The 24,704-nt window shown below is 33.9% G+C and overlaps 1 long non-coding RNA gene across 1 annotated transcript in view; it reads right to left on the reverse strand.

The window, feature by feature from the left end:
• LOC105373150 (uncharacterized) overlaps window positions 1–24,704 on the reverse strand; it is a 246,359-nt gene that overhangs the window by 163,382 nt on the left and 58,273 nt on the right. Inside the window, exon 3 of the long non-coding RNA NR_188591.1 lies at window positions 20,395–20,478. This is a non-coding gene — a long non-coding RNA (uncharacterized LOC105373150). The remainder of the gene's footprint in view (window positions 1–20,394; window positions 20,479–24,704) is intronic.

The raw sequence follows: 24,704 nt of genomic DNA on the forward strand, positions 1-24,704 counted from the left end.
TAGGCTTTCCAAACAGTACACTATATTTGTCATTTAAAAACCTCAAGTACTGATGTATTCTGAAGTTTGGATGAACCGCAAAAATATTAGACTGAAGTTCTTCCCTGGACAAAATAGCGTACACTTGTTTCTCCTTGTTCCTTTCCACTAGATACAACCCTAAACCATGGATATAATGCAAGAGACAACTAAAAAGGAACTCTGAACAGAGGAAGGCAAATTTGTATGCGGAAGGCAAACTAGAAGAACAACGCAACAAGGCATCTTATGACCCTCACCCAACAAAAAAGGGGACCTAGACCTAGTATTTCCCAACTCCTAACATACTAGCATAATTTGACTCGGATAGGTTAATTTCTCCCTTGGCTTCAACAATAATCCTGCCAAAGTAACTAGGGCAGCCAAGTAGAACCAGAAAGAGGGATGTTACTGGAAATACTGCTGACAATAAAGAGACAAAAAATGTACTAGCCTTCCCAACTAGGCCCAAGACCCTCCTCCAACTACTGCATGGGCAGGGAGCACTCAGAGATCATGAAACAACAACTTTGTAGAATTTTGTTCATATTCATTGGTATATGGTATTAATTTGTGTGATGTACTATGTTTTACTCATTCTTAGAGATGGTGGTTTAATTTCTAGGTTGTGTCCAGTTTGGGCTATTAGCAATTTGTGTTTCTATATGCCTTTTGGCACATGTTAATTTTCTTTCTTTTTTTTTTTTTTTGAGACAGGGTCTCACTCTGTTGTCCAGGCTGGAGTGCAGAGAAGTGATATCTGCTCACTGCAACCTCTGCCTCCCAGGTTCCAGCGATTCTCCTGCCTCAGCCTCCTGGGTAGCTGTGATTACAGGATCGTACCACCACATCCAGCTAATTTTTGTATTTTTAGTAGAGATGGGGTTTCACCATATTGGCCAGGCTGGTCTTGTACTGGCATATATGGTGAATCCGCCCTCCTCAGCCTCCCAAAGTGCTAGGATTACAGGCGTGAGCCACTGCGCCTAGCCTGGCACATGTTAATTTTGAGGATGATTATATGTCAGAGTAGAATTACTGTGTCATGTTGTACGTGTATATTCAGCTTAATAGAACCTGCCAGAACTTTGCCAGAGTCCTGACTCCAATTTCTCCTCCAACAAACAATGTGTGAGAGTTTCTCACAGACATAAGGTATTGTCAGGGTGAGAGCCTCATGTTTGCCCAGGCCCTATGGGTGGGGAAAATTCTGTGGCAGGGAGTGTGAGACCAGGCAGAGCATGGCTGTGTTACTGAGCTGATGAGACAGGGATGGAAATTTGGGGGCTGTTAGTGCAGCTGTGATTTACCTGGTAGGGCACTGAAGATGGGGGAGCTATGCACAGAACAAGGACAGAAGTCAATGTGGGAGTTCGAAATAGGTCCTTGTTAAAGGGCTAGGCTGCACATGTGCACAAGACTCATCAAGGCCCAGCAGGGAGTGAATGTGAGGTTTAATGAAGAACAAAAATACCAGAGGTCTTACAGTGTTCAAAGATTTTGGGGTTCTGGCCTAGCCAAAATAAAACAACCTACAGTAACCTGTGAGATAATGTTCAATCATCAAACATACGTTAGTCAGAGTCCAATATAAAGAGAAAGAGAAATGGATCAGAAAGATACATGATTTGTATAAAAGTGGCCCCAGATTCTCAAGTTTTCAGAAATATGTCAAATTACAAATGTAAGATTAATGGAACCAAATCTGGTTAAATAAAAACAGATATGCACATGAGTATATAATACTTAAACAGCTAAGAGCCAAATAATAAATAAATTAAAAGTGCCAGAGAAATAAAAATTAACTGCCTACCTGGGAATGATGATTTAAACAATGGCTGTCTTCTCAAGAGCATTCACGGAGACATGGAGAAAATGGGGCAGCATCTTTCCAAGGCTCAAAGAAAATAAATAAAATTTTCAATGCAGAATACTACGTCTAGAAAAATTATCCTTCCAAACTCAGCATGAAATAAGACACATCCACACGAGCAAACCTGAGACAACTTGTTCCGTATAACCTGTAACATAAGGAATACTACAGCAATGTCTTCAGACTGAAGGGAAATAACCCTTCATGGAAATTAAAAACTATAGAAAGGAGCCAAGCACACTAGAAAAGAAAATTACGTAGATAAATATGTCAATTTTTCTACTGATTTTGGAAAATAACCCAACTTATAAAACAAAACTGATGATAACATTGTATATGTAAAATATATGAAAACAACACCACAAAGGAAAGAGGATGAAAAGGAAATAGAGTGTTGTGAAGTTAACATTTATGTGCAGTGGTACTAACATAGTTCCAAGTAGAATAAGATAGGATAAAGATTCATATGCCAATCCCCAAAGCAACAATTCAACACAGTATAGGTAGTAATCAGGTTACTATGGCAGTATAATGAATTCTCCAAAAACTTATATTTTGTAATATACTCATTATTTACTGTTTTAGTTTCCAAATAGGATATACTTCAATAAAAGTACTGCCACCATATTGCTCATACCTGGCACATGTTAGATGCTGAAGAAAAATGTATTGAACTTATGGATATTTAACTTGAAATAAATTAATATAATGATAAAAAAAGATGCACTCCTTGGGAAGATAATTTGCATTAACAGAAATTGTTTATCTTAGGCACATATAGATTGAATAAATTTTCTATAAAAGAAAAATTTACAGACTCACAAGTATTTCGATAACTAGTATTTGTAAAGATGAACACTTCCACTGAAGAGGCAAACAAGCCTCTTTCAGTCCAAACACCCTGCTGAGAAAAACTAGGAAATCTGGAAGATATTAAAGATATTGTTTGAAGGCACCATAAACCAAAGGAAGAAAGCAGATAGGATCCCAGGAGACAAGCTTGTGTAATGAGAAGCACTCAAATTTGCTACTGCTTCTCGCTTGAAGGCTTTTGCTGACTTTAAGGATGTGATTGAGGATCCACGATGCTCAGCAGAATGTTGTAGCTGAGCAGCTAAGCAGCTGTGAAGGACATTCAGGAGTTTCATCCAACCAAGAGGATGCAGATTAGACCTAACAGTGAACAAAGGAAACAAGCCAGGGAAAACAAACCAGAGGTTCATTTGGCATCCCCAAGGAATTATATCTTGATATTGATATAAACCTAAAATAGAAAACTCCACACAAAACCTGAGATCCAGTTTCCAAAGAAGTCAATCTCTGATTGTAATGAGATGAACTATCCCGACCCTAACTGCCTCTCAAATGCAAAAGCAACGATATACCACCCTAGAAAGTCCAATTACCTCTATATGACTTCATACAGAAAAGCCAGGCTACAATCAAAAGTAGCCACAAATGCAGAAAGCAAATTGGAAGGAAAGGATTTAGCATCAGACTTGGGATCCATTTTCTCCATTTACTGAGGACGCCTCAAACAGAAAGAACTAAGACGTGATTTTACACCCATGCAATTTAGAACAACAGTGGGATACCACTAAATGCCTATTATATGAACAACAGCAAAAAATACAGACCACAAAAAGTTCTGGCAAGGCTATAAAGCAAATGTAACTCTCCTACACTGCTGGTAGAGTGCAAAACAGTATATTCACTGCGGAACACATCGACATATTCTAGAATAACTGAAAGGCAGAAATATCATGTGATCCAGTCATTTTGTTCCTTTAAATTTTTCCAAGAAAAAATGATATTATATGTCCATACAAAGACTCCTAGAAGAATGTCCATAACATGGGAAAGGGTGGAGAGCCTGGGCAAGATCAAAGGGAAAAAGAACAAGGTTCATAAGAAACTCTGGTGCACGATGAGTGGATATTTACATTATCTTGATTGTAGTATTGGTTTCTTAAGTATACACATATTAAAACTTTTATGTTAACTTTAATGTTGTACAGTTTAAGTCAATTATACTTCAATAAATCTATTCCAAATGTGCCATACGCACCAAATGTCTCAAAGAAAGTTAAGACCATTAAACTCAAAAGAGAAAGTTTGAAGACAGAATACTAAGAAATTTAATATTTATATGAAATATTTAAGACAGAATAATCCTCCAGAATAAATTGGAAAAAAATTGATTTAAGCCAAAAAATGAAAAACTAAAATTAAATCAATAAATGAATATTTTTAATTACATTAAATATATTTTTGATGTTGTTTTTCTTTTTTTTGAATAGAGCACAAAAATGATAAACCCTTGACAACAATTCTCAAAAAAAGCCAGGCATTATCATTATCAGGAATGTAAAGAGGATTATCACTACAGCTCCTTGAGACATATACATAATATGTTAAACAAAGTTATGTTGATAAATTTGAAGTTACATGAGATCAGTAAATTGTAGAGAAAAAAATCAGCTTATCAAGAACAAAAAAAAAATTAGGAAATCTCAATAATTCTATATCTATTTAACAAATTACATCTGTAATTAAATCCTTCCTACCAATGATTCTACACAGTACTGCTTGATGACCTACACTCATTACCATGAGAAAGTATGCCAACTTTGAACAATCTCTTCCAGACAAAAGAAACATTTCTCAGTTATTTTATTAGACTGCTATAAGCTTTACACCAAAATAATATCACAAAGAAGATATAAGAAAGGAAAATCAATGGTTTACAGTGAAGAACTGGAGAAATGGAGCTCTATCTTTCCAATGCTGAAAGAAAAAAGAGAAAACTGCCAATCCAGAATTCCATATGTAGAAAAATTTTGCTTCCAAACTGATAGTGAAATAAGATATTCAAACCTGAGACAATTTGCCACTGGGAAAACTATAAAACAAATAATGCTAAATGAAGCCATTTAGGGTAAGGGAAGATAACATCTTACAGAAACTAAGAATTTTAGGAAGGAGTGAAAAACCCTGAAAAGGGAAAATATGTGGATAAATATATAATATGATTTTCTATTATTTATTTAAATGATAACTGAGATCAATGATAAATGTACTGAAGTTACAGATATTTAACTTGAAATAAATTAAGTATAATGATACAAATGATGCACTCCTTGGTAATATCATTTGCCCTAACAGAAATTGTTTATCTTAAGGACATATAGATTGAACACATTTTCTATAAAAGAAAAATCTACAGACTCACAAGTATTCCAGTAACTAGTATTTGCAAAAATGAACACTTCCACTGAAGAAGTAAACCAGCCCCCTTCAGTCCAACCATCCTGCTGAGCAAAACTAAGAAATCTGGAATATATTAAATATATCTTTAATAACTGTTCTACTTCAGCCAAACATCACAGAAAACCAAAGCTCCCATCCTCACCCATCCATCAAAAATGCACCTTCACCACTATGTAACTAGTTAACCCAAACTGCCACCACATGTGATCCAACAAAGCCCAGTAGGGAGCTGGTACTTTCATACTTGCTGGGTGGTAAAGAGCATGCCCTCAACCACACCACTGGTGTCAAAAGAGACCATGTGGGAAATCTGGACTTCCCTTCCCTGAGAATTAATGAAATACTGCTCCCCTCCCTGCTGGAGTGCTGTCAGAGAAGGGTCAGTGGAGATTAATGGTTTCACAACAGCACATGGTGAAAAGGTTAAAAAAAAAAAAGTCACCCTATACATTGTCAATGAAATTCATATGAGGAGCTATAACCTGACACTCCTACTCTCCCCATCAGGGAGGAATGAGTGGAGGCCTAGACAGCGACCAGAACTCCCAACCCCAACCAGGAGTAACCAGGAACATCCCTCACTCAGGAGTCAATGGGGGCCAGGGATGGAACACTCTTTTACACTCACCTGGCAATAGAGGTAATGCCTTCACCTTTGCCCTGCTTGTGTGGTGCAGAGGAGTTAATTATTGATATTGAAGGCAGAAAAAAAAGAAATTACCCAATCAGGACAACAGAGAGGGAATAAAAGGGAGAAAAAAAGGAACAAAATCTCAGGGACCTGTAGTTCAATAAGAAAAGTTGTAACATTCCTGTGACTGAAATCCCATAAGGAGTGGAAAGAGTATAGGACTAAGAATACTTTAGGATAGGATGCCTAAAAACTTTCCAGCTTGTCAAATGAAATCTACAGATTCAAGAGCTTAGTGAAACACAATTAGGATAAACCTGAAGAAATTCATCCCAAGACACATCATGGTCAAACTTCTGGAAACTAAAGACAAAACAAAGTTATTGAAAACAGCAAGAGAGAAATTATACCTTCCCTATAGGGAAAGTACAAAAACATTCAAATTAGGTCAAATTTATCATCTGGTTTCTACAGGGAAGACAGAAGCAAGTTCCACAATTTTAAAATGCTGAAAGAAAAGAATGGTCAACCCAGAATCCTATATACAGTGAAAATATTCTCAGAAATCAAATTTAAAGTAAGACATTCTCAGATGAAGGAACACTAAGAAAATTTATTGCCAGCACAACTACCCTAAAAGAATGGCTAAAAGCAAGTTATCTAAACAGAGAAGAATGATAAAAGAAGTAATCTTGGAATATCAAAAAAGAAGGACAAGGTTATCAAAACACAGGTGAATACAATAAACTAACTTTCTCCTCTTGAGCTTTCTAAATTAGGTTTTTCACTCTAAATAAAAATTGTAACATTTTCTGATGTGGATCTCAAGTGTGTAGAGTAAATATTTAAGACAAATGAATTCAGGGGTATAGTACATAGAGATAACAGGAGATAAGGTTTCTTTTTTTTTTATTATACTTTAAGTTTTAGGGTACATGTGCACATTGTGCAGGTTAGTTACATATGTATACATGTGCCATGCTGGTGCGCTGCACCCACTAACTCGTCATCTAGCATTAGGTATATCTCCCAATGCTATCCCTCCCCCCTCCCCCCACCCCACCACAGTCCCCAGAGTGTGATATTCCCCTTCCTGTGTCCATGTGATCTCATTGTTCAATTCCCACCTATGAGTGAGAATATGCCAAAAAAGAGCCCGCATCGCCAAGTCAATCCTAAGCCAAAAGAACAAAGCTGGAGGCATCACACTACCTGACTCCAAACTATACTACAAGGCTACAGTAACCAAAACAGCATGGTACTGGTACCAAAACAGAGATATAGATCAATGGAACAGAACAGAGCCCTCAGAAATAACACCGCATACCTACAACTGTCTGATCTTTGACAAACCTGAGAAAAACAAGAAATGGGGAAAGGATTCCCTATTTAATAAATGGTGCTGGGAAAACTGGCTAGCCATATGTAGAAAGCTGAAACTGGATCCCTTCCTTACACCTTATACAAAAATCAATTCAAGATGGATTAAAGATTTAAACGTTAGACCTAAAACCATAAAAACCCTAGAAGAAAACCTAGGCATTACCATTCAGGACACAGGCATGGGCAAGGACTTCATGTCCAAAACACCAAAAGCAATGGCAACAGGAGATAAGGTTTCTAACACATTACTAAAGTGGTAAAATGATGACAGCAGATTATGATATCTGACTATCTATCTATCTATCTATCATCTACCTGTTGTTCAGAGTAATCAGTAAAATGAATAATGCAAAAATGTACATCCAAATACACTACAGATAAATAAAAATTGAATTAAAAAATTTAAATACCCACAGGCAGACAGGAAAGAGAATACTGAGAAACAAAATCAGAGAACAAAGAGAATAAAAAATTAATGGCACACTTAAGTGCTAACATACAGATAATATTAAATGAAAATACCCTGCATATACCAACTAAAATACTGACATTGGCTGAATGAATTCACAAAAAAGTGACTTAACTATTTTTCTGTCCACAACAATTGCATTTTAAATATAACAACATAGACAGATTAAAAGTAAAGGATGAAGCACAAAGAAAAGACATATATTTGAAGTGATTGATATCCCAAACGCACTGATTTCATCTTTGCAAATTATATCAATGTACTAAATTATCACATGTAACCCCAAAATATGTGCATTCATTATGCATCAATAAAATATATATAAAATGTATAAAAATAAAATGAAAAAAAGGATGGGGAAATATATCATACCAAAAATAATCAAGAGAAATCAGGAATCACAATATAAACACAGATAAAGCAAAATTCAGAGCAAAGAAAACTTAAGAAATAAAGATGGACGTTATATAATAACAAATGGTCAATCCAAAAGAAGATATAGTAATCTTAAATATGCATGCACCCAACAAAAGGAGCTACAAAATATGAAAACAAAGCTGATGCAATTGAAAGGAGAAATAGATTAATCTACAGTAGCTGGAGACTTCAACCTCCCTCTCTTAACAATTGATAGAACAACTACACAGAGCCAGCAAAGATTTTAAAGAAAATAACACCATCAACCAACAGGATTTAACTGTCAATTATAGAATACTGCATCCAACAATAGTAGAGTACAAATTACCTTCCTGTGTCCACGGAATATACACCAAGGTAGACCATATCATGGTGAATAAAATAAATCTCAACAAATTTAAAAAATCTAAAATCATAAGAGTGTATTCTCTGACCACAATGGAATCAAATGGAAATTAGTAACAAAAGCATAACAGCAAAATCTCTAAAAGTTTGCAAACAAAATGATACACTTGGAAATAATCCATGGGTCAAATAGATAACATCAAGAATTTTTTTAAAGTCACTGAAATAGACGAAAAAGAAAATACAACATATGAACATTTAAGACAGAAAACAGAAACAGAAAAATAGCATATTAAAGAGGAAAAACTTTTCAATTTATTTTATGAAGCTAGTAATACCATTATATCAAAATTAGACAAAGTACCACAACAAAAAACATAACCCTACAGACACAAAATTTTAACATGATACCAGCAAATAGAACTCAGTGATACATAAAAGGTTTACAAGTTGGTTTAATTCCAGGGATATAAGGCATACACACACAAAAAAGACAACCATGGAAGGTGATGGATATGGAAATTTGTTTATAGCAATCCTTTCACTATGTATATGTATATCAAAAAGTCAAGTCATACAAGTTAAAAATATACAATAAAAATTTTAAAAAACAATCAATGTAATCTACCATATTAGCATGCTAAAGAATGAAAATGACATGAACATAGAAATTGAAGCAAAATCAATTAACCAAATCCAATACCCATTCATGATAACAACTTACAGAAAGAGAAAAATAGAGAAGAACTTCCTAAATTTGATAAAAAGCATCTGCCAAAAACTTATAGCATACATTATACATAAAGGTGAAAAACTGAATGCTTTCCTATTAATTTCAGGAATAAGGCAAGTAGTTTACTTTCACCACTTTTATTCAAAATAGTGCTTGCTGGTGATCCAAGGAAAGAAATAAATAGAAGGCATATAAACCTAAAAGGAAGAAAGAAAACTACCTCTATTTGCAGATGACCTAAAGTCTACAAAGACAATCCCAAAGAATCTCCAAAAAATACTTAGAAATAAGAAGTAATTGGCTGGATGTGGCAAGTCATGCCTATATTCCCAAAGCTTAGGGAGGCCGAGGCAGAAGGACCACTTGAGGCCAGGAGTTCAAGACTAGCCTGGGCAACATAGCAAGACCGTGTCTCTACAAAAAATAAATTAAAAGATTAGCCAAGTGTGGTGGCAGAAGCCTGTAGCCCCAGCTACTTGGGAGGCTCAGAGGGGAAGATCACTTGAGCCCAGAAATTGGAGATTACAATGAGCTATGATTGCGCCACTGCTCTCCATCCTGGGCAACAGTGCAAGACCCTGTCTTTTAAAAAAAAGTGACATTGGCAAGGTTATGTGATACAAAATAAACATGAAATAAATTATGTTTCTATATACTAATAGACATGTGGACACTGAAATAAAAAATAGAATTTATAATTGCTTCATAAATGAAATACTTAGAAATAAACATAAAACATGTATAGGCATTGTATGCTAAAAATTACACAACATTGATGAGAGAAATCAGAGAATATCTAAACAGAGAGACATACTGTGCATGTGAATTTGACTGTTCAACAGAGTAAATTTAAATTCTCACAAAAGAAAAATACAGGTTTAACACAATTCCTAAGTAAATTCCAATAATATTTATTGTAGTTATTGAGAAGATTGTTCTAAAATTGATATAACTAACAAAATTTTGAAATAGTAAAATATGTTGGAGAACTCACACCACTCACTTTCAAGAAGTATTATATAGCTATAGTAATAGAGACAGTGTGGTATTCATAGTGAGATGGACGCATAGATGAATGAAAGAAAAAGAATCCAGAAATAGCCCCATACAGTATGGTCAACTGAATTTAGATAAAGCTGCCAAAGCAGGCTGGACGCAATGGCTCACGCCTGTAATCCCTGCACTTTGGGAGGCTGAGGTGGGCAGATCAGGAGGTCAGGAGATCGAGACCATCCTGACTAACACGGTGAAATCCTATCTCTACTAAAAATACAAAAAATTAGCTGGGCTTGGTGGCATGCGCCTATAGTACCAGCTACTCGGGAGGCTGAGGCAGGAGAATCGCTTGAACCCAGGAGGCAGAGGTTGCAGTGAGCCCAGATCGTGCCACTGCACTCCAGCCTGGGCGACAGAGCAAGGCTCTGTCAAAAAAAAAAACAAAAAAACAAAAAAAAAAAACTGCAAAAGCAATTCAATTGAGAAATAATTGTATATTTTCAAAAATTGTGCTATAGCAATTGGATAGCCATAGGACACAAATTAAACCTCTAAACTTCACATCTCATACAAAAAGCAACTCAAAATATATCATAGATATAATTATTTTTTATAAAAACTACTTAAAAACCTTAAGGAAAGAAATAGAATAAAAACATTCAGGACATTGGGCTAGGCGAGGAGTTATTAGATTTGATACCAAATATCAAACTATATAGTATTTCATACAGAAAATCCAGCATACAATAAAAAAAATAAACATGCAAAAGAATGAATGAAAAAGATTAGCATCTGGCCTTTGATTTGTTTTCTCCATTTACTGTGGATGCCTGGGACAGAAAGAACTATGATTTGGTTATACTCATGCATTGTAATGTGACAATGAGATTACTATTGCATACCTACTAGGAGGGCTACAGTTAAACATTCTGAACTTAACAAGTGCTATAAAGAATGTAGAACAATTGCAGCATTCATTCAGCTGGTAATGTGTAAAATGGTACAATGTTGCAAACTAGTTTGTCATATTGTAAAATAGCTCAGAAGTACACTAATCATGTGACCTAGTCATCCATTCCTTGAAGTTTATCCAAAAAATGAAAGTATATGTCCATAAAAAAACTTGTACAAGAATGTGCATAGCATGGGAAAATGAGGAATGTTGAGGCAGGATCAGTAGACAGGAGATACATATATGCACAAGAAAACTTGAAAAGGTGGGTGGAATGGATATTTACATTATCTTAATGATGGTAACTGTTTCACAAATACATACATATCCCAAAATGTATACTGTTTATTTTAAAGTTGCACAGTTTAAGTCAATTATACCTCAATAAAGCATGCATGAGATGGACCAAAATATCTGTCTAAAGGAAAATTTATAGCATTAATTGTACAAACAGAAATGCCGAAAATTTAAGATCTCATAGTCCACCTCAAGAAATTGAAAAAAGTTATTAATTACTAAAAATAATTGAAGACATGAACCAATAAAATCGAGATAAGTTAATAAAATTTGAATAATTTTAAAGGAAATATTGACAAATCTCAAAGTTTTCATTTTAAATAGAATAAAAAATTGACAAATCTCTTGCAAAACTTATCAAGAAAAATAAAATACACGTTACAGTATCAGAAATGTAGACAGAAACATCACTACAGTTCCTGTAGACAAATACATAATATTATAAACAAAATTATGCTATAAATTTTAAATTTTATAAAATGATAAAAAATCTAAAGCCTAGGAATTCTCAGTAGTCCCATGATTATTAAATAAATTGTATCTATAATGAAAATCCTTCCTACCAATTAATTCCACATCCTAGTGCCTGAATTCCTGATCATTTCCATATAATGAGAAAGAAACACCACCAATCTTGCACAAACTCTTCCATGGAACAGAAAAGAATTCCTCCAAATGTTCTAAGAGACCCTTACAAACTTTACACCGAATTTATCAGGAAATCAAAGGTTTACATCCTGCCAGTTCAAGTTTATACCCCTCCAATAACCTCATATTAAGATACAATATAGTGACTTACTAGTATTTAACTTGCACTAAGTATTAAGCATATTTAATAGAGTAATTGCTAATTTACACTTTGTGTATATACTTAGGTGCAATGCAAAGTTCATTTGTTAAAATACCATTACAATTATACTAAATGCAAAATTATCATATATTAAGGCTATGGAAGTATCAAGCATCTCCACTTATTATTTTATGTTCTATATATTGCTTGTTACTGATAAATTGATATTTACTATATTTATATAAATCACTTCTCATATAGAGTATATTTTCTCAAAACATGATGTTACATGTTACATAATAGCTCTAGACTAAAAATATTTTGCAATAAGCAATACAATTATCACTTCATCATTCTTTATCAAGAGATTCGTGTTTCTCATTAAATTTCTCATTTAAGTCACAAGTAATATCAGATTAGCAATAATAACAACAAACCATCTTACTTGGGAATGTACTTATTTTTTAATTCTTGGAAAATATGTGCAGATATCTTTATGTTTTAAATATAAAATAAATTTTTGGCTTTTTGGCTTTTGTTGTTTCTCATACCAGCTATATATTTTTTATTTTGCTTTGCTTTATTGCTAGTGTCAGCCAAATAAATTCTTTTTGTTTGCCTAAATGAAATAACTTGATATAAAAACTATTGAAGTTTTTGAAATATTTTGTTAGTAAACCATATATTTGACATTTATATGAAATATAAATAATATTAATGAAATGGACATATATCCATCAAAAACTTCAAAAAATAAATGTAGAATATCAATCCATGAACAATGGTTTAAATGATGGCTGCCTTCTCAACAGAATCCATGGAGAACTGGAAAAATGGTACAGCATCTTTCCAATGCTGAGAAACAAGATAACAATTTTAAACCCAGAATCATAAAAACAGTTTCTAAGCCACAAACAGATCCAAAGGTAAGGGAGGAACATCTTTTTGTTCAGAGGCTTAAGTACAACCTTTCACCAAGAATGCTGACAAGACGGGCTAAAAGATGAAAACATGAGGAAAAATCTAAGCAAGGATATCAGAAGCTGCACACAACAGTGAAGATGGACTTCACAAAATTAGCCCAGTCTTGTCAACAAATGAGCAACAAAACAAACAACAACAATAAACCAGATGAGGAGTAAATCTCAAGATTTAATATATTATATTACCTAATATGTCCAGTACTTAACAACAAAATAAAAATTCCAAAACTATGAGACATGGAAAAAAAGAGGGAAGTGTGACAAATATATAGGACACAAGACAAACAACAGAAACTGCCTTTGCAAAGACCAAAATGTTGGAGTAGCAGACAGGCTTCAAAACAGCTATCATAAATATGTTTTAAAAACAAAAGGAAACTGTGTTTACAAAATTAAAAAATATAATGTTAGCTTAAAATCTGTGCATTTCACTGAATTGCCTCATTCAATAAAATGAAAGAAAAAAGTAATTATCAATATCAAGTTTTCAATAAAATGTTTAAATAAAATGTGACAAAAAGGCCACAAGGAAAAGGCAGGGATAAAAGGAGTTTTTCTGCTGTTAGGTTGCGTTTACATAAATTGATACTTTCTGGTGGGGCGCGGTGGCTCACGCCTATAATCCCAGCACTTTGGGAGGCCAAGGCAGGTGGATCAGGAGGTCAAGAAATTGAGACCATTCTGGCCAACGTGGTGAAACCCCGTCTCTACAAAAAACACAAAAATTAGCTGGGCGTGGTGGTGCACGCTTGTAGTCCCCGCTACTCGGAAGGCTGAGTCAGGAGAATCACTTGAACCCAGGAGGTGGAGGTTGCAGTGAGCCGAGATCGCGCCACTGCACCCCAGCCTGGAGACAGAGTGAGACTCCGTCTCCAAAAATAAATAAGTAAATAAATAACGAAAAAAGTAATAGGTAACATTTTGGTTATTAACGTAGCTTTTAAAATTACCACAAAATTTATATTCTATAATATATTACATATTGACTTGTTTGTTTTCCACTGGGCTGTGCCTCAGTAATGTACCTCTACCATGAAATCCATATCTGGCACATGTTGGGAACTCGGGAAACACTTAGGCAATCAATGAAAAAAATCTAACATTAAGCAAATAAAGACAGGAGAATTGCTTGAACCCAGGAGAGGGAGGTTGCAGTGAGCCGAGATCGTGTCACTGCACTCCAGCCTGGGCAACAGAGCAAGATTCTGTCTCAAAAAAACAAAAAGAGAGAGAGAGACAGAAAAGATAAACTCTTCAGAAAATTATTTGTCTTTTAAGAAAAATTTTAATCTTATTGATATAAAGATTGGGTTAATTAGGCATAAAAGGAAAAACAATTAAACTTATTTCAAAAAGGAGAATATATGGAGCAGTTTTCAGGAATGACTGAGAAGCTGTCAGATAAACCATTCCTCTGAGAAAAACTAGGAAAGCTGGAAGATATTAAAGACATTCTTCAAAAGCACTACTAACCCAAGGAAGCAACCACCTGATGAGACGAGTTCTCAAAAGAGAAGCCCAAGGGATGAAACCCAAATTTGGTACCTCTTTTCCCCTCAAAATATATGCTAACTCAAAGGAGGTGATTGAGAAGCCAAGATACTAACCACAAAGCTGTAGTTTAGACACTATGCAGCTGAGCAGGTATTTTAGTAGTCTCAAAAACTCAGGGGACACAGTGCACCAAGGAGAAAGAAACAGGAAGACAACCCAGGGGTTCATGTGGCATCCCTGAGAGGCTATGCCCTAAATGCTGATATGAGCCAGAAATAGAAAACATCTCACAAAACCTGAGATGCAGCTTCAAAAGGAATATCCCTGATTGCTGACAGCTGCCCACATGCTAACTGTCTCTTAGAAGCAAAAGCAAATGCTCGCTAAAAAGGAAAAATTTTTCAAAACTTCCAATTATGTCTATGGTATTTCATACACAAAATCCAGCATACAATAAAAATAACCATATAGGCAAAAGCATAAATGGGAAAGAAAAGATTAACAACAGGCTTGTAATCCATTTTCTCCACTTACTGGGAATAAATAGCAAGGAAAGATTGATGACTTGTGTATATCACACAATTTAGAGCAACAGTGAGGTATCACTGCACACCTATTAGAAGAGCTACAATTAAATATACTGACTAAAACAAGTGCTGGCAAGTATGTAAAGCAACTGTGACTCTCATAATATTGGTAGGATGTAAAACGGTATAATTACGTTGCAAAACATATTGATTTATTCTAAAACAACTTTAAAGTACACTTCTCTCATGATACAGCCATTCCACTCCTTGAACTTTATCCAAGAAAAATGAAATTATACATTCACAAAAAGACTCATACAAGAATGTCCATAGTATAGTTTTAAGTTGGGTAGTGTGATGATTCTGGCTTTTTTCCTTTTGGTTAGAATTGCTTTGACTATTGGGGCTCTTTTTTGGATCTATACTATAAAGCTAAGGAAACCAAAACAGCTTGGTACTGGTACAAAAACAGACACCAGACCAATGGAATAGAACAGAAAACTCAGAAATGTAAGCCATACACCTACAACCATCTGATCTTTGACAAGTCCAACAAAAACAAGCAATGAAGCAATGGGCATTCAATAAATGGTGCTGGAATAAGTGGCTGGCCATATGCAGAAGATGGAAGCTGGACCCCTACCTTTCATTACATACAAAAATTAACTCAAAATGGATTAAAGATTTAAATGTAAGACCTCAAACTATAAAAATCCTGGAAGACAACCAAGGAAATACTCTTCTCGACATCAGCCTTGGCAAAGAATTTTTGGCTAAGTCCCCAAAAGCAATTGCGGTAAAAGCGAAAATAGACAAGTGAAACCTAATTAAACCAAAGAGCTTCTGCACAGCAAAAGAAACTATCAACAAAGCAGGTAACCTACAGAATGAGAGAAGATATTCATAAACTATGCATGCAACAAATGTCTAATATCCAGAATCTAGAGGGGATTTAAACAAATCAACAAGCAAAACACAAATAACCACATTAAAAAATGGGCAAAAGACATGAAGAGATACTTCTCAAAAGAAGACATATGACAGCCAACAAACACATGAAAAATTGCTCAACATCACTAATTATCAGAGAAATGCAAATAAAAACCACAATGAGATAATGTATCACACAAGTCAGAATGTCTATTATTAAAAAGTCAAAAAAACAACAGATGCTGGCCAGGTTGTGGAGAAAAGAAAACACTTTTACACTGTTGGTGGGAATGTAAATTAGTCCAGCCATTGTGGAAAGCAGTCTGGAGATTTCTCAAAGAACTGAAAACAGAGCTACTATTCAACCCAGTATTCCTATTACGGGCTATATACTCAAAGGAAAATAAATCATTCTACCAAAAAAGACATGCACTCACATTTTCATCGCTGCACTATTCACAATAGCAAAGACATGGAATCAACCCAGGTGCCCATCAATGGTAGACTGGATAAAGAAAATGTGGTACAGGTCCACCATAAAATACTATGCAGACATAAAATATAATGAAATAATATCATTTGCAGCAACATGAATGGAACTGGAGGCCATAATTCCAAGTGAATAAACACAGAAAATCAAATACTGTATGTTCTCATGTGTCAGTGGGAGCTAAACATTTGATTTTGATTTTAACTTTTTATTTTATAATTTCAAAAAAGTGTATTCTCAAATCTTAAATTTTCAGGATTTTATCTTTGACATTAATGCTCTAAATTTTCCTTTAGATACATGTTTTGGTACATAGCACATAGTTTGTAACAGCTTAATTGAGGTATAATTGATGTCAGATGAACTGCACAATTTAATATATATTTGTGTGTGTGTTTGTGTGTGTGTAGTTGAGCACACATGGACATCAATATGGGAACAATAGACACTGAAGACTACTAGCAGGTGGAGGGAGAAACAGGGGTGAGTTTAAAAAATATCTATCCAGTACTATGGTTGCTACCTATGTGATGAGACCTGTACTCTAAGCCTCAGCATCACACAATATTCCCATGTAACAAACCTGCACATGTACCTCCTATCTAAAATGAAAGTTGAAGTTACTAGCAATAAAGAACGTCCACGGTATGGGAAAGTGGGGAGAGCTCGGGCAAAATTAAGAGGGGGAAATCCAAAAGTGCACAAGGAAAGCTGGAGAGAAGGATAAATATGTTCATAATCTTAAGTGTAGAGATGGTTCCTCTCTCTCTCTCTCTCACACACACACACACACGCACACACACGCACGCACACATACACACAAATATATATATATTGTGTAGCCTATTTGAAATCAATTATACTTCATCTAAGCTGTTAAAAACTGTGTACTACATGCCAAAATATGTGACTAAAGGAAAATTTAGAGCATTAATGCCAAGGATAAAATCCTGAATATTGAAGATTTGAGAATACACTGCATGAAATTAAAATATAAATCAGAAAATGAAATCAAAATTTTAAACATGAAAAATTAAAATTAACATCAGTTAATGAAATCTAAAAAAAATTAAATAGCAATTGAAGAATTCTGTTGTTTGAAAGGAAAAAATGTAATACGTCCCTGGCAAGACTGATCAAAGGAATTTAAAAAAGACATATATTATCAATAGCAGGAATGTAGACGGAACCATCCCTAGGATACTGGAGATACATACATTATGTTATAAGCAAATTTATGCCAATAAACTTGAAATTCATGAAATGAGAGAAACAAAAATATAGCAAAATAGTTAAACCAGGAAATCTCAACGATTTTATATCTAATCAAAAGCTGTATCTTTATAAGAAAAACCTTCCAACAAATAAATTATTTGTTGGTGCCTAAATTCCTGATGTTTCTCATGTAATTGAGAATTAAATAACACCAATATTGGACAACCACTTTACACAGGAGAGAAACAGTAAAAACTCTGCCCAAAATGCTTTATAAGACCTCTATAAACTTGATACCAAACTAATAAGGACATTATATAAAAGGAAAACCAAAGGTTTGTATGCCTAATGACAAACACAAAAAACTAAATAAAAGTAACATTTTATATTTGACAAACAGAATCTAAAGATACTTCAATTATAATTAACCTTGAACAAATTGGCTTTAACACAAGAATGGATTCTTGTTGCTTTGTTTTCAAATCAAACAATCTTGACAAAGAAATGAAACTATGCCATTACAACAGCAATTACAGAAAGTCATTTCACATAATTAGCCACTTAAGAGATTTAAAAAAAATAAAAAATAAAAACTGCAGCATATATAATCAGTGGTGAAAAACTGAAGAACTTCTCCCTCAGGTGAAAAAAGAGACAAGGATGTCTACTGTCACCAATTCTATTCAGCATTTTAGGGAAAATTTGGTTCAGGGCAACAATACAAAAAAAAGAAAAAGACATAAATATTGAAACCCATAAACTGTACCCCATGTCTATATACAGACTGCATAATTATGCTTCCAGAGTATCTAAAAGCAATCTGTAAGCAATGTATTACAACTAATAAGTAAATATTTCAAGATTGATAGGTAACATACATTTAAACAAACACTTTTTTTTCTAAGAATAGCAATTCTTAATAAACCGTTCATACACATCATAAGAAATGACACAAAAACCCCACTGGACAAGGTTATATTTTTAAGGCTTTTTCTATATATTTAGCAGTCATTATAACCCTGAATATTGCTACTTTTTTCTAATACAGAGACTCCAAAATATAAACCAAACTTTATAAGAAACTTGACATTTAATCCAAATGAAACAATAAAAAGGGCATTCTTTGTGTAATTTTTCCTATGGTCCTTAGTCTAATCATCTCACTGACTAAATAGAGATTAGCTTCTTTAAAGTAAGTCACAAGTATTTTCTCTACAAAATTTGCTTATATATTTTTTCTTATTCTTTTCCACTGTTTTCTAGTTCTTTTAGCATGATTTCTTAACTGTTTGTATATTACCTTAAAAGTAAAAAACAGGAAAAAAAAAACTACAGTTGTTTAGAAAACAATCACTAGAAAACAATCACATGCCACTATGTGACTACTTCTTTAATTTCCTTGCGCTATGTAAAAATTTATCTTATGCTTGGTGTAAAATTTTCAAAAAATGCACATGAATATATCCTCTCGGAAGTAACCATGATATCAGTAAAGTGTGTCTAAGAACAGATATTCACATAAATTGGCATTTACATAATATATGTATATACATATGCGCACATGTGAAATTATAATTTGCTTTACTTTTTACCAGCAATATATTGTGGAAATATCATCTGGAAGTATATAAGATCTATTAGATTGGTTGCATAGCTACATAATATCCACAGAATGAAAACAATGTAATTTATTGAAAAGTAGCTCTTTTGCCAATTTTGTAACCACACATTTATGCTTGTTAGTGGCTGTACTGGATACAGTCTTAAAAGGCAAATTATTATTTTAGAAAGCAGGTGAAAAACTACTTTGTTAATGCTAAATTAATTTCCAAAAACCCAGTACTATATTATACTCCCTCAATAATCTGGTATCAAGATAAAGGATAATTTTTTATTTAATTTGCATTATTATGCATAGTTAATAGCATTAATGAAAATGTATGCTTACTTTATGTAAAATGATGAATTTTAATATTTCACTTGTTAGTTTATAATTTATTTAATATACTAAAAATTTTATATATCAAACCTGTGCATATACTGTTTACTTTCACATATGTTCCATATATTGCCAGTTACTGAATCGATTCCTATATGTATTATATTTACATAAATCATTCCAGATATGCAATATAATTTGCCAAAGCAATAATTTTGCTATAGATCATACAAATGTCACTTCATTATTCTTTATAGTTTTAATTTCTTCTCACACATTTTCTCATGCATGCCAACATTAACAACAAATGAGCAATTATAAAAACGATTTTTATATTTTTCTTGGGAATGTGTTTAAATTATATTATTTTGGATATAATTCGTAGATATGTATACATTTTAATAAAAATTAGACATTTATCCCATGATTTTCTTTTGCTTTTGCTGTTGCTGTCAATCAAGTAAATTATATTTTTATTTACAGAAATGAAATATTTAGATTGACCATATAGGCATTGGACTTTTAAAACTATTTTATTATTAACCTACATATTAGATATCTATATGAAATACAAAAAAAAAAATCAGTGAAGTGAACAAATGCATACCAACTGAAAACTTCTGAGAAATAAAGATATATTACCTATCCTAGAACGATGACTTAAAATTCGGCTTCCTTCTGAACAGAATCCATAATCAGAAAAAATGGAGCAGAATCTTCTCAACGCTGAAAGAAAAATTAAAACTATTAACCCAGATTCTATATCCAGCAAAATTATCTTTACAAACTGATTAGCCAGGCAAACAAACCTGAGAAAATGTATTGCTTGACAAGCTATAATTCATGTTGCTACACTCACGAGATGAAAATTGAGAAGGAAGAAAATTCGAGAAGAGCACGAGGCTCGAGGGATAAGGTGGCGCCCTCTGCTGGTAGCAGTTGCTAATGGCAGTCGGCTGGAATTTTAGCCTAGCAATTTACCTATAGCATCACACAACTGCTGCGTTAGGTTGGGTATGAAAGGGTCACTAAGCTTGGTCCAGAATCCATGTGTGGCCATAAACCCTATCTCTCGAAGGCAGAGGGTGTAAAAAATGTGTGGGCATGTTTATAATTTGCAATAAACAAAAATTTAAAGGAGAAAATTAAATTGAATTAAAAATATTAAATAAACACAAATGTAGCCATGAAAGGAGAAATAGAGAAATAAAAAGAGATGAAAAAATAGAAAATAAATGGCAACACTGTCAAGTTGAAATCAAACTATATTAATAAAAACATTAGTTTTTAAAAGCTTAAACATTCCAACTAAAATGCATACATTTTGAGACTAGAAAAGAAGCAAGTCTCAATTATTTGCTGTTTATATGAGACGCAATTTAAATTGAAAGACACAGTAAGGTTGAAAGTAATAGTATAAAAAATAATGTGCAATGTAAAATTAAGCATAAGAAAACTGGAATGTGTACATTAATGCCAAACAAAGTAGATGTCCAGGAAAGGAAAGTAACTAGAAATAAAGAAGAACATTTCATTATCATTAAAGGATCTATTCATCAGGAATGGAAGAAACACAATATTTACATATGTCATAATTACAGAATCTGGAAACAGAGACAAAATATAAGTGATTATATGTTAATAAATTTGAAATTATGTAAAATGTAGAACTCTGAATAAACCCAACTTAATGAAAAATAAAACTGAGAAAATTTGCATAGTCTCATTAAGTAAATTACATCTATAATGAAAAATTCCCTATAAGTGAGTCCTATGCTCTGGTGATCGAATTGGTGAATTTTCCCCTACAACTGAGAAATAAATTACATCGATCTTATACAAAAGTAGCAGAAAATAAAAGCAGTAGGCAACTCCTCTAAATGATTTAAGAGTTCTGGGCCAGGTGCGGTGGCTCACACCTGTAATCCCAGCACTTTGGGAGGTCGAGGTGAGGGGATAACCTGAGGTCAGGAGTTTGAGACCAGCGTGATCAATATGGTGAAACCCTGCCTCTACTAAAAATACAAAAATTAGCCGGGCATGGTGGTGCACACCTGTAGTACCAGCTACTCAGGAGACTGAGGCAGGAGAATTGCTTGAACATGGGAGGCGGAGGTTGCAGTGAGCCGAGATTGCGCCACTGCACTCCAGCCAGGACGACAGAGGGAGACTCCATCTCAAAAACAAACAAACAAACAAACAAGCAAAGAGTTCTGTATAAACTTTACACCAAACTGACAAAGATATCACATGAAAAGGTTATATATATATATATATATATATATATATATATATATATATATATATACACACACACACATCTCATGAACAAATGAAAAAAAAAGTTTAACAAACTGAATCCAAAGTTACATTAAATCTGATACACTATAAATAAATTAGGTTTTATCCCAGAGTGAATTCTTGTTGCAATAAACACTTTGAAATCACAAAAGTTCAGTAAAACATAGAAATATATAATAATATTGTGATTATAAGTGCAAAAACTAACATATCACCCACTTAATATTAGAAAAAAATCCTAAAATTGTAGCTAATATCATAATCAGTGGTGAAATATTCAAATCTTTCCCTGAGATCAGGAATGAGAAAAAGATTCCTACTATCACCAGTTCTATTCAACATTTATGTATGCAATAATACAAGAAAAAAAAGACATACAGATGGGAAAGGAAGAAATTAACTGCCATTATTCACATACTGAATGTTTATATTTCTAGACTAACATCAGTGTATATATTATATGTTAGAATTAATTAATTTAGCAATTACTGGATATATGGTTAATATAAAAATAAACTGTAACTGTATTTCCAAATTCCTGCAACAATTAGAAGATTAAATTAATTAAAGATACCGTTTACAACAACACCAAGATTATCAAAATCTTAGGTAAAATTTTAATGAAAGCTGAGCAATATATTTACATACCAAACTATAGAAAATTATTCAGATGAATTAAATCGAGATATTAACAATTGAATGGTGAACAATGTTTATTAAATGGAAGATGTAGTTTTTTTAAGGTGATCAATTCTTCCCACTTTGAAGCATATGTAATCTCATTCAACACGAACCCAAGTCAAATCCCAGCAGTAATTCAGCATATTCTATAAATCATTAAATTTAAAAGTTGGACAAATGGAGAGAATTAACAGAAAGTTCGATTTCAGTCAGATAGAATGAAAAAAGACCTATTGGTGAAAGATTAGGGCAATTTGGAACATTGTGATTTCCTGCCACTAGAGTTGGTGCATGAATTATACAGTACCTTGGTGTTGATATTCTATCAGGAAATTAAAGACAGGTTGATGACTTGTGACAGCTACACTTTGTATTTTAACATCTGAGATCATCTACTGAATTTTCGAACACTCTATTATTCAAGAATGAATTTTTTTTTTTTTTTCTGAGACGGAGTCTCGCTCTGTCATCAGGCTGGAGTGCAGTGGCATGATCTTGCCTCACCGCAACCTCTGCCTCCCGGGTTCAAGTGATTCTCCTGCCTCAGCCTCCCGAGTAGCTGGGACTACAGGTGTGCGCCACCACACCCAGCTAATTTTTGTATTTTTAGTAGAGACGGGGTTTCACCATGTTGGCTAGGATGACCTCAATCTCTTGACCTCGTGATGCACTCGCCTCTGCCTTCCAAAGTGCTGGGATTACAGGCGTGAGCCACTGCACCTGGCCTCAAGAATTAATCTTTTAAACCACAGGGAGAATTATCATTTTTATGAAGACTTCAAAATGGCATGCTTATACAGAAGGTGGGATGTATAATTCACTGCACATTTAAACGTTAGCCTTTTTATGGAATACTGGAAATTATGTGCAGGATTTTGCCCTATATGTGGTAAAAGGAATGGATGTACTTTGGTTTTACTTTGCATGTTTGGAAAAAAGACACTAAGGTCATAGAAGCAAAGAGATTTTCCCAAGTTTATAAGGAGAATAGCAGAATCGAACCGAAGAATCATCCTTCTATAACCTAGTCCTGAGCATTGCACTATCCTATTTCCATATTCAATATACCATTTATCAACAAGCGTTAATTTTTTAAATGGGAGGCAAACACATTCAAAATTATCAGAATCATTTCCTCAAACTTGAATTATATGCTATAACTGGGCTCTAATCTCGTCCATATCACAAATATTGTTATGATTTCTCTGAGATGTAATCACACACAAATTGAACATTGTACTTTAAGAAATTGCTTCTGGAAGCTGTTTTTTCTTATACACTACATGCTTCATTTTCAATATATGCAATTACAAAGTGCTTTTTTTTCTTTAGCAATATGTCGATCAATGAATATACACCATTCACTAATTTTGATGGTACTTAAGTGGTTCTCTGCCATTGATGATGGTCCTGTTACATAGTTAAACATAAACGCATTTTTCTTTTTTCTTTTCTATTACTTCATGGTGTTGTTTTTTGTTTTGTTTTGTTTTGTTTTTGTTTTTTTGAGATGGAGTCGCCCTCTGTCATCCAGGCTGGAGTGCAGTGGCATGATCTTGGCTCACTGCAACCTCCGTCTCCTGGGTTCAAGAGATGCTCCTGCCTCAGCCTCCTGAATAGCTGAGACTACAGGCATGCACCAGCACACCTGGCTAATTTTTGTATTTTTAGTAGATACAGGGTTTCACCATGTTGGCCAGGCTGGTCTCGAACTCCTAACCTCAGGCGATCTGCCTGCCTCAGTCTCCCAAAGTGCTGAGATTACAGGCATGAGCCACCGTGCCTGGCCTACTTCATGTTTTTAATTGAAAGACAAAATTGGATGTATTTACCATGTATAACATCATGTTTTGAAATATGTATTGTGAAATGACTAAATCTAGTTAATTAACATACACATTTTTCTGAAAATGGCAATCCTTCATAAGGTTTTTATACACATCATGAGAAAGGGCATAACAAATCTACAG

The sequence above is a fragment of the Homo sapiens genome, chromosome X (assembly GCF_000001405.40).
Source record: "Homo sapiens chromosome X, GRCh38.p14 Primary Assembly".
NCBI lineage: Eukaryota > Metazoa > Chordata > Mammalia > Primates > Hominidae > Homo > Homo sapiens.